This window comes from Homo sapiens, chromosome 2 (assembly GCF_000001405.40).
Source record: "Homo sapiens chromosome 2, GRCh38.p14 Primary Assembly".
NCBI lineage: Eukaryota > Metazoa > Chordata > Mammalia > Primates > Hominidae > Homo > Homo sapiens.
The window spans coordinates 224,797,266-224,814,557 of record NC_000002.12 but is presented as its reverse complement, the minus strand read 5'-3'; the positions used below and the strand labels follow the sequence as shown (position 1 = coordinate 224,814,557).

Genomic DNA, 17,292 nt, shown 5'->3' with positions numbered 1-17,292 from the left:
AGAGCCAGATTCTGTTTCAAAAAAAAAGGAAACAAATAACCTAAGACATTCTCCTTGAAAACTGGCAATACTGAAGACTCACATTTTTAAATAATATAGTTTAATTGTTCAGTATAAACTACACATAATGAATACATATGTATCTGAGTATGTATATGTATATATCTGAACTTTTTATTTATATTAAATTCAGATCCTTTGACACCTTCAGAATCGACTCAAGAGTTACATGCATCAGGTAAGTGATATTACCTTACCTAAGCATCAGTAACCACCTGTAATCCAATAATATTGACAACTATAAATTTCCAGTTTCTGGGTGCTAATAAATATTCACATATTTAATATCATATGATAAAAATATTCAAAAAGTTGACTGAATTGTTTGCTTGTCACAGATAGTTTAATGATTGCCTAATTTCAATTCTTTCGTATTTTATTCTCCAGAGGTTGGCAATATTTTTTAATTTCCCAAAGCATCTGAAATTTCCTTAATTTGTATCATAAATGAAATTCCCAGATATATATAATAACATGCTTGTTCAATGTAACTGACTTTATATGATGTATGTCTTTTGCTAAACCACAGCCTGGTTTGATCAATCTTGTTAAGACAGAGGATATTAGTATAAGTTTATTTTTATCTGAAATGGGTTAGTAACTTAAAATGGTCTAGGCAAACCTTTTCTGTAGTCATAGATGGAAATTTAAAAGTTGTGTTCTATTCCTGGATCCTCAATATTACTATGTCAGTGAGAAATGTATTTAGCCTGAAGCCCTGTGATTTTAGTCTCCTGAACTTCTGCATTCCTGAATTTCCACATTCAGTAGCTTCTTTATGGACTAAAAAAGTCAGTATGTTTAATTTGCTATTGGTCATTTATGAGCTGGAATATTCTAATAGTTAATTATATTAATCATACCTCCCTTACGGGTTGTCCTGCAGATCAAATGGGATAATGCACATAAAGTGCTTAGCCTAGTGCTAGCAGACAGCAGGTTGTATACACGGGTGCTAGTACTACTGTTTTCCCCCAGCCTTATTGAGGTAAAATTGACAAAAATTGGGCGCGGTGGATCATGCCTGTAATCTCAACACTTTGGGAGGCCGAGGCAGGCAGATCACTTGAGGCCAGGAGTTCGACATCACCCTGGCCAACATGGTGAAACCCCATCTCTACTAAAAATAGAAAAATCAGCTGGGCATGGTGGCACATGTCTGTAACCTCAGCTTCTCAGAAGGCTGAGGCACAATAATCGCTTGAACCCTGGAGGCAGAGGTTACAGTGAGCCAAGATCGTGCCACTGCACTCCAGCCTGGACAACACAGTGAGACTCTGTCTCAAAAAATAATAAAAATTTTGTATATTTAAGGTGGAAAACATGTTTTGATATATGTATGCGTTGTGAAATGATTACTACAATCAAGCTAACACCTCATATAGTTCTATTTTTTAAGTCTGTGCGATGAGAACAATTAAGGCCTACTCACTTAATAGATTTCAAATGTACATTCCAATCAATAGAAAAAGAGGGAATCCTCCCTAACTCATTTTATGAGGCCAGCATCATCCTGATACCAAAGCCTAGCAGAGACACAACCAAAAGAGAGAATTTTAGACCAATATCCTTGATGAACATTGATGCAAAAATCCTCAATAAAATACTGGCAAACCGAATCCAGCAGCACATCAAAAAGCTTATCCACCATGATCAAGTGGGCTTCATCCCTGGGATGCAAGGCTGGTTCAACATACGCAAATCAATAAGTGTAATCCAGCATATAAACAGAACCAAAGACAAAAACCACATGATTATCTCAAGAGATGCAGAAAAGGCCTTTGACAAAATTCAACAATGCTTCATGCTAAAAACTCTCAATAAATTAGGTATTGATGGGACGTATCTCAAAATAATAAGAGCTAACTATGACAAACCCACAGCCAATATCATACTGAATGGGCAAAAACTGGAAGCATTCCCTTTGAAAACTGGCACAAGACAGGGATGCCCTCCCTCACCACTCCTATTCAACATAGTGCTGGAAGTTCTGGCCAGGGCAATTAGGCAGGAGAAGGAAATAAAGGGTATTCAATTAGGAAAAGAGGAAGTCAAATTGTCCCTGTTTGCAGTTGACATGATTGTGTATCTAGAAAACCTCATTGTCTCAGCCCAAAATCTCCTCAATCTGATAAGCAACTTCAACAAAGTCTCAGGATACAAAATCAATGTACAAAAATCACAAGCATTCTTATACACCAAGAACAGACAAACAGAGAGCCAAATCATGAGTGAACTACCATTCACAATTACTTCAAAGAGAATAAAATACCTAGGAATCAAACTTACAAGGGATGTGAAGGATATCTTCAAGGAGAACTACAAACCACTGCTCAGTGAAATAAAAGAGGATACAAACAAATGGAAGAACATTCCATGCTCATGGGTAGGAAGAATCAATATTGTGAAAATGGCCATACTGCCCAAGGTAATTTATAGATTCAATGCCATCCCCATCAAGCTACCAATGACTTTCTTCACAGAATTGGAAAAAACTACTTTAAAGTTCATATGCAACCAAAAAAGAGCCCACATTGCCAAGTCAATCCTAAGCCAAAAGAACAAAGCCGGAGGCATCACGCTACCTGACTTCAAACTATACTACAAGGCTACAGTAACCAAAACAGCATGGTACTGGTACCAAAACAGAGATATAGATCAATGGAACAGAACAGAGCCCTCAGAAATAATGCCGCATATCTACAACCATCTGATCTTTGACAAACCTGAGAAAAACAAGCAATGGGGAAAGGATTCCCTATTTAATAAATGGTGCTGGGAAAACTGGCTAGCCATATATAGAAAGCTGAAACTGGATCCCTTCCTTACACCTTATACAAAAATCAATTCAAGATGGATTAAAGACTTACATGTTAGACCTGAAACCATAAAAACCCTAGAAGAAAACCTAGGCATTACCATTCAGGACATAGGCATGGGCAAGGACTTCATGTCTAAAACACCAAAAGCAATGGCAACAAAAGCCAAAATTGACAAATGGGATCTAATTAAACTAAAGAGCTTCTGCACAGCAAAAGAAACTACCATCAGAGTCAACAGGCAACCTACAAAATGGGAGAAAATTTTCACAACCTACTCATTTGACAAAGGGCTAATATCCAGAATCTACAATGAACTCAAACAAATTTACAAGAAAAAAACAAACAACCCCATCAAAAAGTGGGCAAAGCATATGAACAGACACTTCTCAAAAGAAGACATTTATGCAGCCAAAAAACACACGAAAAAATGCTCATCGTCACTGGCCATCAGAGAAATGCAGATCAAAACCACAATGAGATATCATCTCACACCAGCTAGAATGGCGATCATTAAAAAGTCAGGAAACAACAGGTGCTGGAGAGGATGTGGAGAAACAGGAACACTTTTACACTGTTGGTGGGAGTGTAAACTAGTTCAACCATTGTGGAAGTCAGTGTGGCGATTCCTCAGGGATCTCGAACTAGAAATACCATTTGACCCAGCCATCCCATTACTGGGTATATACCCAAAGGATTATAAATCATGCTGCTGTAAAGACACATGCACACGTATGTTTATTGCGGCACTATTCACAATAGCAAAGACTTGGAGCCAACCCAAATGTCCAACAATGATAGACTGGATTAAGAAAATGTGGCACATATACACCATGGAATACAATGCAGCCATAAAAAATGATGAGTTCACGTCCTTTGTAGGGACATGGATGAAACTGGAAACCATCATTCTCAGCAAACTATCGCAAGGACAAAAAACCAAACACTGCATGTTCTCACTCATAGGTGGAAATTGAACAATGAGAACACATGGACACAGGAAGGGGAACATCACACTCTGGGGACTGTTGTGGGGTGGGGGGAGGGGGGAGGGATAGCATTAGGAGATAAACCTAATGCTAAATGACGAGTTAATGGGTGCAGCACACCAACATGGCACATGTATACATATGTAACAAACCTGCACATTGTGCACATGTACCCTAAAACTTAAAGTATAATAATAATAAAATTTAAAAAAAGAAAAAAATAGATTTCAAATATACAATATTGTATTATTAACGATTCTTACTATGCTACGTATTTGACCTCCACAATTTATTCATCTTATAACTGAAAGTTTGTACCCTTTGACTAAAATCCACCTCCCATTTCTCCCATTCCCCAGCCCATGGCAGCCATCTTTCTACTCTGTGCTTCTATGAGGTTAACTTCTTTAATTTTTTTGCAGAAACTTAGAGGGGTACAAGTGTAATTTTGTTACATGCATAGATTGCATAGTGGTGAAGTTAAGGCTTTTAGGATATCCATCATCCAAATAATGTACATCGTACCTATCAAGTATTCTCTTATTGTCCACCAGAGTTTGATTTCTTTAGATTCCACATATTAACTGAGATCATGCAGTATTTGTCCTTCTGTGTTTGGCTTATTTCACTTAGCATAATGACTCTTAGGTTCACCTGTATTGTCACAAATGGTAGGATTTCTTTTTTTTTTTTTTTTTTTGAGGCTGAATAATACTCCATCGTATGTATATACCATTTTTAATCCATTCATCTATAGATGGTCACCTAGGTTTCCATAGCTTAGCTATTGTGAATAATGCTGCAATGTATCTCTTCAACATAATGATCTGAATTCTTTTGGATGTATACCCAGAAGTTGGATTGCTAGATCATATGGTAGCTCTATTTTTACTTTTTTGAGGACCTTCTATACTGTTTCCTATAATGACCGTATTCCACCAACAGTGTACAAGGATTCCCTTTTCTTTACACCAATACTTGTTCTCATTTGACTTTCTGATAATAGCCATCCTAAAAACTATGAGGTAATAGTGCATTGTGGTTTTGATTTGCATTTCCCTGATGATCCGTGATATTGAACACTTTTTCTATATCTTTTGGCCATTTGTATGTCTTCTTTCAAAAAATGTCTATTCAGATCCTTTGCCCATTTTTAAAACTTGGCGGGTTGTTTTTGTTTGTTTGTTTGTTGCTATTATGTTGTATGAGTTCCTTGTAGAGTTTGGATATCAGCCCCCTGTCAGGTATATGGTTTGCAAGCATTTTCTCCCAATCTGTAGTTTGCTTTTTCATTTTGTTGATTGCTTCCTTTGCTGTCCAGAAACTTTTAAATTTGATATAATCCTACTTGTTTATTTTTGCTTTTATTGACTGTGTTTTTGGGGTGATATTCATAAAATCATTGTGAATGCCACTGTCAAAGAGCTTTCTCCCTATGTTTTCTTGTACGTGCAAGTACTACTATTAATGGTTACATTTTAAAAACCCTTTGGACAATTTGAATAAATCCATTATTACTGGAAATTTTTAACATTCTTTTCTCTGTAATTCAGGCTCAAAATTTGGCAGGGCCTTTTCTCTATAATTCAGGCTCAAAATTTGGCAGTGTCTTTTCTCTATAATTCAGGCTCAAAATTTGGCAGTGTCTTTTCCCTATAATTCAGGCTCAAAATTTGGCAGTGCCATTTCTCTCTCCTTGCTCCCTCAAATACTTCAGTCAACTTTTCCTAGTGAGTTACTCTTGTCACTCAGTTTCTGCTACCCCAGCCCAGATATCACGTTGTCACTTGCCCCCTCCCTCCCCCATTGCTACAATGTCCTGTATTGTATCCCTCACCCCACATCTCCCCACAGTCTAATTCATTTACACCCTGCCACACCATATTAATAAGTCAGTAAAGCATGAGCCTTATCAGGGCACTGATCTCAAAGCTATCGGTGTGTTAACATTCCTTACAGAATTAAATACAAATGGAGAGGGACCTAGATGGCAGCTAAGGAAATTGTACTGTTCTCCATCATCTAGCCCCAGCCTCTCAAGCCTAATTCTCTCACCATTCCTCTTTTAGCCACTGTGCTTATTGACTCCCACATACTCGTGCTCCCCTCCATACCTGCTCCCTTCCACACCTGCGCTTTCAGAATTCTGTGCCATCGAAAATCCAATCGCTTCTCCCAGCCTCCTGTCCTTTCTCCATTGCCTCTGTCTGTTCCCACAAAGATCTGCACCTCCAAACTTCAAGTATCCTCAAAGACTCATCTTGATGGATTCCTACTTATAACATATCCTGATTCCTCCAAGCAGAAAATGTGTTTTTCCCCCTCTCAAATCCTGTAATCCTGTAAATATGCTGTTATTATGGAATTCAAAAGTTGATGTTGTGTGTTAGTTTGTACCTGTATTTGTGTTTGTCTACACAGAATAGTCCCCTTACTGAATGCTCCTTGAGGATACAACACACCTCATTTCTGTAGCAAGACTGTATTCCTGAATCCCTCCTAGTGGTGGAAGAAGTTGATGGTAGTTGTTTGGTATATCTGTCTCAATTATAAAGTGATCATTTGATTTTCAATAACATGAGTTATTTTCCTTCCTCACAAAGATATGCCTGAATATTCAGTCACAAATGAATTTTGTCGCAAACACTTCTTAATCGGAATTCTGCTCCGAGAAGTTGGCTTTGCCCTGCAGGAAGACCAAGATGTCAGACACTTAGCTTTAGCTGTCCTAAAAAATCTAATGGCTAAGCATTCATTTGATGATCGATACAGAGAGCCAGTAAGTGATCTTCCTTTCTCCCTTCCCTAAACACCATTTAATGGCTCACTGCATTAAATGCATATGAAACCGACAAGCCTATTGATTTTTACATGAATCATTTCTTTTGGCTACCTTTTCTCCTAGAGAAAGCAGGCCCAGATAGCAAGTTTATACATGCCCCTGTACGGCATGCTCCTGGACAATATGCCAAGGATTTATCTGAAGGACCTGTATCCTTTTACTGTCAATACATCTAATCAGGTACGTTTGCACAATATGTCACATTTCTATGTTAATAAAGAATTTGTCTTTTTTTAATTATTTTTTGCCCTGGATAACCATTTCTTCTCATCTGTGAACATACTAGGCATTGAACAACACTTTCTGCTATGTACTCACATCAATGTGTCATTTGTTCCAGATAGGTCCCTTTAGCCTCCACCTGATCCACCCTTCAGCATTTTGCTTTCATTTCTCTCTGTTCTCTGTATCAGCTTCCAATTCTTTCCAGCTTTTACAGGTTCCTCTGTTGCAATTATGACCCCTTCCTCAGTGGACACCTTCTCCTACCACTTTCTACATTCCCTACATCCCCCCCTGGTGTCAGAATAAATAGCCAAGTGCCTTATTTGTAGTCACAACCCAGGAGTGACTATAATCCTTCCTCCACTGAGGCACCACAGTGACTACGCACAATCCATTAAAGATCCGTTGCCTATGTTCAAATCTCAGATGAAATAACCCACTGCTGAATCCAGTATCTAAGGAAGGTATTACCATCTAGGAGTTAGGAGCTATGCCTATGGATTTTTTTTTTACCTTTTTCAAATCCCAGCAGTATCAGTGACTATCTGGGTGACTGGAAATAAGTTAGCCAACCTCCTTAAGACTCCATTTCCTTCATTATAAAATGGGATAAAATACCTAAATCACAGTGTCTTTATGAGGATTAAATTGTGTACTAGAAAACATTTATTTTAGAGCCTGGCAAGCAATAAATATTTAAAACATAGTTTTAGGCCAGGTATGGTGACTCACATCTCTAATCCCATCAACTTTGGGAGCCCAAGATGGGAGGATCCCTTGAGGCCAAGAGTTCAAGACCAACCTGGGCAACATAGCAAGACCCCACCTGTACAAATAAGAAATTTAAAAAATTAGCTGGGCATGGTGGCACATACCTGTAGTCCCAGCTACTCAGGAGGTTAAGGGCAGGAGGATCGCTTGAGCCAGGAGGTTGAGGCTGCAGTGAACTATAATCATGCCATTGCACTGTAGTCTGGGTAACAGTAAGACGCTGCCTGTTAGATAATGAAATAGAATAATTAAAATAAAATAAAATGTAGTTGCTAATAATAGTAATGTACATAAGATAACTCATGGTAATAATTATATCTATAATGTGATCCATGAATATATCAATAACCAATCCAGCCATGTAGTCTGTATATCTGTATCTAAAAGATTGTTTCTACAACATTGTAAAAAAGTCACATAAATCAAATTATAACTACGAGTATGGTTTTGGCTGTATTTGTTTTCACTGCCTACTTTAGCAGAAAACCTGTAAGGGGATATAAAAGAACAAATTAAATATCACTTAATTGGAAGTGTAACGAAGAAGGCATATGTGGGTTAACAATGTTGAAATGCCATGATTCCCATTAATCTTTACTATACTTTGAATACAGGGGTCTAGAGATGATCTAAGCACCAATGGAGGATTTCAAAGCCAGACAGCTATCAAACATGCAAACTCTGTGGATACATCATTTTCTAAAGATGTTTTAAATTCCATAGCAGGTACTTGAGATCTTCTGAGAACACTTATTTTTAACACTCATCCACCTTTACATTGTATATCATTGTGCTTTTTACTCAGTCCGTAATTTATTATGCATAATCTACGTGGCAAAGTATACTACATTTATACAACCAAAGAGTCTTTTTACATATTTCTTTGAATTCCATCCAGTGACTTCCTCTTCTACTTAGTGTTCAGTATTACTTGGCTTAAGGAGCAGCCTACTTGGATGTTATCAAATTACTTTATTCTGGAAACCGTCTTTAAGTTTTCATTGCAGACAGCCTTTTAAGATATAATGGCTTTTCAACTTCAAGTATTATTTTTAAGAACTGTTTTGGAAATGTCATTTCAGTTTCTCATAAACAGTCAAAAGTTGAAAGCCCCTTCCCAAAAGTATCTTTATGAACTTTTACTAAAGCATTTTTAAAACAAGAGCTGGCTTTAATGCCAATCCCAGACGCTGTTATGTTGGTCTTTGACAACACTGCTGCTACCTCAGTATCAACATCTTTTTGGTTCATCATGTGAACCTTTTGTGTGTGTGTGCCCATACATCTCATTCCCATACGTGTGCTGTGGCTTGTGTTTACAGCATTTTCATCAATAGCTATTTCTACAGTAAACCATGCTGACTCCAGAGCATCTTTAGCAAGTCTTGACTCCAATCCAAGTACCAATGAGAAGAGCAGTGAGAAGACGGACAACTGTGAAAAGGTATGACTTCCCTCTCAAACCTACTGATCATTACAAGGCAGAGGTCACTCACTCTCACTCAATCCTGATTGGTTCTTGAATTCCCAGATCCCAAGACCCTTGTCTTTGATTGGCTCAACTCTTCGATTTGACAAGTTAGATCAAGCAGAAACCAGGAGTCTCCTGATGTGTTTTCTTCACATTATGAAAACGATTTCGTACGGTAAAGAGAATTCTTTAATTTTTTTGAAAAAAGGAAAAAGAAAACCTTCAGATTCTCATACTACCTGGTGTTTCCTTTTAGAGACTCTGATTGCCTACTGGCAGAGAGCTCCCAGCCCAGAGGTGTCCGACTTCTTCAGCATCTTGGAGTAAGTTTTAGAGTTGATGACTTAACACTTTTTTCTGGAAATTTCTAAATAGTCCACTATACCATGTTTCATTTCAAGAACCCATATAGTAAGTTATCAATAATATATGAACTATTTAAAGAAAATTTAATATTTTTCTTTCAATATACTTAGATGAACAGTTTGTATAATAAAAGAATATGAATAATTAAAATGTGGTTTTTTTCTCCTTTCTAGCGTTTGTCTTCAAAATTTCAGATACCTAGGAAAACGCAACATAATAAGGTACTAATTTTAAATTCCAATAGGTTAATCTGGTCTTTTAAAAAGCATATGACATGTATTAATGTGTCAGGTTAGAGTTACAAATATATATTAGAAATCTTAAAATGCAAATAAGGATTGTTAGGTTGACGTCACATTAGACACAGTAAGTTTGAAGATTGCCTCATACGCATTGTAGATCTAGGAATAGTTCATGTTGTCTAGGGAGAAAAGCACAAAAACACAAATTTTTGAAAGAAAACCACATTTCATGTATCTTCAGAATGAATTTATCATTATATAGATATAACTTGGAAGATACCTATTTCAGAAAACATTTCCAGTAAACTAAAAAAAAAAAAAAACAAGTAATCTGGAATAACTTCGTACTGTCATCATTTTCTCATGAGACAACAACGTTTGAAGCACCTTCACTAAATCCCAATTTCTGATTTCCGAAAGAAAACAGGGTTTTATTTTTGATTAATTCACAGCATGTGAAATATTTCATTGTGCAGTAATCGTTTTGTCAGTTGCCATTCATTTTTATATGTAAATTACAAACACTGAGCTATGATTAAAACTTCCATTTTCATTGCAGAAAAATTGCTGCTGCATTTAAATTTGTGCAGTCCACCCAGAACAATGGAACTCTCAAAGGATCCAATCCTTCCTGCCAGACATCAGGTCTCTTGTCACAATGGTAATGTCACATTTGCTTGGTATTTAAAATTATATATAGCTGTGTGTGTGTGTCTGTATATGCACATGTCAGGGGTAGACACACACACACACACACACACACACACACACATATTTCTATTTATATATTCAAACCAAGTGCAGATTTCAAGTAACTATATGTCTACCTAAAGAAACTTCTTAGATACTTTACTGTCTGCCCTACTAGCTGGTAGAGACCAAAGAGATAAGGAGTACACCATATATGTGTGCACTTAGAGCACAATCCCTTGCATAGACTGAACATTAATGAGTATTTTCATTTAATGAAACCTGAGACATAGGCCCAATAAATGCCTCTTTTAATGCTAGCTAATCTTCCAGTGACAAACGGAAATGTGGAATCATGTCTCCCTAGGCTTTTCAGTAATTATAATTTTTTGCAATGTTCTTGAAGCTGAAATTGTTTTTTAAAGGGTCAAAGGCAATGAGGAAGCATGGATAGTCCCATAACCTCACTTTAGATTTCCTAGTCATTAGACTGGTTTGACTAGCAGATAGGACCTGGAGTCATCCTTCACCGGCCTAACCAATGGGAAACATTTGCCCTGAAATTCTACCTCGGAGCTCCTCTGGGTCTTGTAAATGAGAATTCTTTGCTAAAATTATCTCCACTTTGATTTATTCTTCCCAGAGGTATCATCATAATATATATTATGAATATTTTAGAAAGGGTTTTAGAAAGAAATATAAGAGTCGTACATAGCGAATAAATCATAGAATAAATTGTGCCTCCCTCCATGCCCTTTGAAATTGCCCCCTTGTGAGAAAGTAAATGAAAAAAAATGTAATGGACATTTTTTGCAAAAAATAATAGAGGACAGTAAAGAATTAGTTTCCATGTTTAATAATAATAGTGAGCCACCTGAGGTCACTGAAGTTTTGTAGATGTGTGGTGGGTTAGATTTCAGGCTGCTCCTGAGACATCTGGATGGGTCCTGGCCATTTCTGTCCCTCGCCTCCTAGAAACCAGGGCTTTTCCTCCACAAGTTCAGACTGTACTACACTCAAAACCTAGAAATAAGCCAATCCAAATGCCTAAAGCCTAGAGCCAAGGAATCACGCACTCCTTCTAGCTTCAGGAATGACCCAGGCTCCCCTGGCTATTGAAAGCCAAAGTCTCATCTCCTTGGCCTCCACCCATCCAGGTTTTCTGATTTAGCCAGAACCAAAACAGCCTTGAAAAGTGGGAGAAAGAGAAGACCACTGCCTCATTTTTAGGTAAAGGCCTAAAGGAGGAATTAGGAGATACTTCAGGGTATTTCCAAATGCTGCTTTCTTTCCATAAGTGTTGTTATAAATAGTTTTTATGACAGCACATATCCCAAGAATTATCAACCTATTTCCTTGGCCAAATGATAAAGTCAGCAGTAGGAAATATTCCTATTTCCACAGTAACACTGGCTCATTTTTCCCAGCTGGAAATGCTATGGGGTGTTGAATGAGTCATTGCAGGCCATTGTCATTGCCCTGGAAGCACAGAGGCACAGAGGTCCTTTAACTACCTACCTCCCACAACCATCACATGTCAGCCCCCTGTGGACATGACATCAGTGAAATGACAAATCAACAGGAATTTCCAGATACAAATACCTCGGAAAGCAAGAGTTGTTTTAGAACCTGATTTTACACTTATCTCTTCAAAAATAATTTGATGCATCTGAGCTGTACAATATTGTACTTTTTAATGTCCACCACTGTGCCTTCCTGATCAGCCAGTAGCCAACTTAACATTCACAGAATCCCATTATTTCATAAATAATAATGATATGCTTGAATAGATTTCACTCAATGACCTGTTATTCTACAGATTACCCTTGTGAACACTATTTTGGCTTAAATAAAATTTCTCCAAAAGTACTTTAAAAAGTCTCTCTCATCATGTCACCTATAATTAATATTTGTAATAAAAAGTTGCTTTCCAAACTAGTTTTTAATATTTGACTCAATCTAGAACATTTGAGAATGAACAAGTGTTATTTGGCTATAACATCCCCAAATAACTCTAACCACTTTTCTTTTTTTGTTTTCAGGATGCACTCCACTTCCAGTCATGAAGGCCATAAGCAGCACAGATCACAAACTTTACCTATAATTCGAGGCAAAAATGCACTTTCTAACCCCAAACTCTTACAGATGTTAGACAATACCATGACCAGTAAGTAAACTGAAATAATAGGAACAAGATGGTTACCAGTTTTTCTCTAGGTATGTGTAGGACATGAAATGCACTAAAACCACAGTTTTTAAGGTTTGCTGTACCTCTGGGAATATTTCTTAAGGGAAAGACTCACCAGGGAGTGGTTAAAAAAAAATGTAGTGCCCTATGGTGAAGAAAGGGGAGAGGCAAAACCCTCAATATCATATGTTTAGCATAGCTCCCTTGGAAACAAGTTACTTTCAGCATTGTGCAGGTTATGGGGGCTGCTGTCAAACAGATGATTACTGCTTCCTCTGTGGGGAGGGGATAAAGTTGCCCATGTCCCAGAAGCAGCAAGGGTGACCTCTTGAACTTAGAGATGCACACACTCCAGCTTGTGAATGAGGGTAAAATGGAGGCCAGCGTTTTGTAAGCATGTAACTTGAGGACTAAACTCTGACCTTTTCTCTTCTCTTGCCCAAATTCTTCAGGGGCCTGGAAAGTCACACCAGTCTCATCAGAGGGGTTTTAGTTAACCCTATATAACATGGCTTACTTTCCAACCTGACTCTGGCATAACATCACATGACAGATAAGGAAAGAAATCAAAATATTTTATCCCCAAATATGTTTTTTTTTTTTTTTTTTTTTGCCATGTCTTGAAACAGCCCTGCAGAGTTGTCTCTTGTGGGGAAAATTTTGCATTCTGTAAAGAATCCCCTTTCCCTCTTCAGGACCTTTTCTTGATCCAGGAGAGAATCAACTGAGAGTCTGGCACCTTTTTCAGTCTGATAAGAAACATTTACAATCTCTTCTCTCTGAAGTCTGCCATCTGGAGGCTTCATCTACATAATAAGAATGTTGGTCTCCACAATTGCCTTTCTTAACCCAGACATTTCCTTTCTATTGATTCCAGGTCTCTAGATAAACTCTTTCTACCAATCGCCAATCAGAAAATCTTTGAATACACCTATAACCTGGAAGTGCCCCTCTCCCCCACTTTCAGTTGTCCTGCCTTTCCAGACCAAACCAACGTACATCTTACACGTATTGATTGATGTCTTATGTGCCCCTAAAGCATATAAAACCTAGCTGTAGCCCAAACACCTTGGGCACATGTTCTCAGGGTTTCCTGAGGGCTGTGTCACAGGCCATTGTCACTCATATTTGGCTCACAATAAATCTCTTCAAATATTTTACAGAATTTGACTCTTTTCATTGACAGATTGTTAGCAATTATGGGCACATGGCCCACAGTTACTTGTTTGAAAGTATATGCCTTAACCGATAAAGACACTTTGTGACTTTCCGAGGGGACATAAAGACTGTCCACTGAGACTGTACATTTGGTCTATTAGCCCAGAAGTTTAGAACTTGAGACAGCCTGATTATGAAAGAAATATGACCCTGTCTTTGGCCAAATTAACGGAAAAGAACTCAGAAACAATGGAAACCCCGCAACTGATATATGGAAAGGGCACACACACTAAAGACTCTAGTACTTTTAATTCAGTCAATGAAGAAACTGAACAAACAAAAACACTTTGATTTAATAAATTATTAATCAAAATGCCAGCAAACTTTGAATATATTGTAATGAAAGGAAATCCTTTATAGGGTACAAAGCATTGTCTTAGACTTTTACGCATGTTTTATTTTGTATTTTATAGGCAACTCCAATGAAATAGACATCGTGCATCATGTAGACACTGAGGCCAATATAGCTACGGAGGTTTGCCTCACTATTCTGGACCTGTTATCCCTCTTCACACAGACTCATCAGGTGAATATGATGATAACATTTTCTGCAAAAAATGATGAAATATGAGGTAGAAAAACCATGTGAAGTCAAAAACATGGTTTTTTTTAATTATTTATGAAATCAATTAACCTTATATAAATCAACCTAAGTGTGAGTGGAAAACATGTTAAAGATGAGATTTTGATTTTATCACAGGTTGACTAATGTTTGTTTGATATGTACACGTGTGCATTTCACTATTGTCAAATAGTCTTTCTTCCTCATTTATCTTGCTTCACTCTCAGGCAAGCTGGGCTGAGTGATAGTGTGACTCTGTACTTTTTCAGTAGAAGAGGAAGAGATAAATGGGCCTATATATTAAATTTACAACTAGATCTAAAGAAAACTAATAATGTTGAGCATCTTTTTGTGTGCTTATTTGACATTCAGATATCTTTGATGAAATGATTATCACTACTTAGAATGGCTAAAGTTAAAAAGACTGACCATCCAAAGTTTTGGCAAGGGTGTGGAGAAACTAGAACTCCTATTTATTGACAGTGGGAATGCGAAATGGTAAAAACATGTTGGAGAACAGTATGGCAGTCTCTGAAAAAGTTAATCATACATCTGTCCTGTGACCAGCCATTCCAATACTGTAATAGGTATTTGCCCAGGAGAAGTGAAAACATATCTCCACATAAAACTTTATACACAAATATGCATGACAGCTTTATTTTAATAGCAAAAAAAGAAACTACAAACAACTCAAGTATACATCAACAGGTGAATAGATTTAAAAATCTGTGGTATATCCATACAATAGACTACTACTCAGCAGTTAAAAGAAATAAACTACTGATACATGCTGTAACATGGGTGAAACCCAAGAAACCAAATTTAAAAAGAGTATATACCGTATTACTCAGTGTATATTATTCCATTTATATGAAATTTTAGAAAATGCAAACTATAGGAACAAAAAGCAGATCAGTGGTTGCCTAGGGATGTGGAGGAAGGATGGGAGGAAGGAATTACAAAAAAAAGTATTTAAAAACTTTTGAGAGTGATAGATACGTTCATTATCTTGATTGTGGTGATGGTTTCATGGGTGTATGACAGTGTTAAACTTATTAAATTATACATATCACAGTTCAATTTATTGTATGTCAATTATACTTCAATAAAACTATTAAAAACATTTGCAGCTCTACCAAATGAGCTTAAACACCTAGGCTAGTACATTACGGATTGAGCCGGGGCAGGTGTGGTGGCTCATGCCTGTAATTCCAGCACTTTGGGAGGCCAAGGAGGGAGGATCACTTGAGCCCAGGAGTTCAAGACCAACCTGGGCAATATAGTGAAGCTTCATCTTTACAAAAAAATTTAAAAAATTAGTCAACTATGGTGGCACATGCCTGTAGTCCCAGCTATTCGGAAGGCTGAGGTGGGAGGATCACTGGAGCCCTGGAAGTGGAGGCTGCCGTGAGCTATGATGGTGCCACGACACTCCTGCTTAGGTGACAGAGTGAGACCTTGTCTCAAAAAAAAAAAAAAAGATTGAGCCAGGAAAACTTGGATTCTTTGAATAAAGTCTACACAGAACAGCATAATTATGCCAAGAAAGCCCTATTTCAGATGAAATGTCAGCATGGTGGTAGAGAAAGTAATGACTATATTGATTCTTATTGGGCCATGAAAATGTCACTCAAATCTCACAAATTTTAAGGATTTTACTAGTGCCTTCAAGAACCTGTGACCTCTCTCCCATTTCTCCCCGGCCCCACCCAACTCGCCATTGCATCAGCTACTTTTCTTTCTCAACCTTGAACTCATAAGCTCCTTTCCAAATCAAGGCCCTTTTACTAGCTGTTTCTCCCCCACAGGACAGTCCTCCCAGATCTCTCCAGGGCAGGCCCCTTTGAGCTCACATGCCAATTTTCCATTAGAGAGGTCTTTGCTGACTACCCTATGGAAGTAATCCTACCCCCAAAGCAACTACTTTCAATCACATCATCCTAGTCTATTTCCATTTGTCATGTTTTTTTCAATCACTGCTATGTAAGTTTCACAGTAAACATGAACTGTGTCTCCTTGTTCAATCCTTTATTTCTAGCACTCAAAATAGTGCCTTACCACATGACAGGTTCACAATAAATATTTTTTGATAGAATGAAAATTTTCTTTCACTTATCCTGAATAACATCTGCATTGAATTTCCAGAGACAACTCCAACAATGTGACTGTCAAAATTCATTGATGAAAAGGGTCTTTGATACCTACATGCTCTTTTTCCAAGTCAATCAGTCAGCCACAGCGCTGAAGCATGTGTTTGCCTCCTTGAGACTGTTTGTATGCAAGGTAAGGATCTCCAGGTTTCAATGAAGTTTAGGTAGGATGACAGTAAACCCATAGAATAGTAAACCTATAGGAATCCTTGCGTTTCTCAGTAGGGAGGGAAGAAGGATTGTTTTCTTCAATTTGGGTTTTATTAGACATTGATTCCTGGTCTCAAAATGAGTGCACAGCCTTGACAATCTGTCTGCTCAAATACCAGAAGATATTAGCATCTGGTGACAATTAGCATCTGGTCACCAATTCTTTGAGTTATCTGTGTTTGCGGCACCAAGTTAGGTAAAATGCACCCCTTGAACTTAAAGGGGTGCATATCAAGTTAAAGATTCCACATTAAAGTGGATACAGCCACCGCCTTTGAGGACGCTTGTAAATAACACCTGTGATCTTAACAATGTCAGGTGAATTGAGGTCATTTCAAAGCTCTCACTGTTATTTTGGATTGTCATCAGTTACTGATACAAAGGATACTTATACAATGTAGAGAATAATTCTATCTAGGAAAAAAGACAAATGCTAACATAGGCCTTAACAAATTCTATCCTCCTCACTTGCAAATGAAAAAAAAAAAA

General features: G+C 37.5%; 1 protein-coding gene across 24 annotated transcripts in view; it reads left to right on the top strand.

The window, feature by feature from the left end:
• DOCK10 (dedicator of cytokinesis 10) overlaps positions 1–17,292 on the top strand; it is a 277,379-nt gene that overhangs the window by 227,911 nt on the left and 32,176 nt on the right. For 17 of the 24 annotated variants that reach the window (XM_047444930.1, XM_047444929.1, NM_014689.3 and 14 more), the window contains 12 exons: positions 194–238; positions 6,472–6,647; positions 6,774–6,890; positions 8,321–8,432; positions 9,029–9,150; positions 9,238–9,352; positions 9,434–9,500; positions 9,717–9,764; positions 10,345–10,446; positions 12,518–12,642; positions 14,295–14,407; positions 16,589–16,726. In XM_047444930.1, coding sequence (XP_047300886.1) covers positions 194–238; positions 6,472–6,647; positions 6,774–6,890; positions 8,321–8,432; positions 9,029–9,150; positions 9,238–9,352; positions 9,434–9,500; positions 9,717–9,764; positions 10,345–10,446; positions 12,518–12,642; positions 14,295–14,407; positions 16,589–16,726 — 1,280 coding nt within the window. The remainder of the gene's footprint in view (positions 1–193; positions 239–6,471; positions 6,648–6,773; positions 6,891–8,320; positions 8,433–9,028; positions 9,151–9,237; positions 9,353–9,433; positions 9,501–9,716; positions 9,765–10,344; positions 10,447–12,517; positions 12,643–14,294; positions 14,408–16,588; positions 16,727–17,292) is intronic. The other 7 variants (XM_047444922.1, XM_047444921.1, XM_047444926.1 and 4 more) reach the window with 1 other exon arrangement.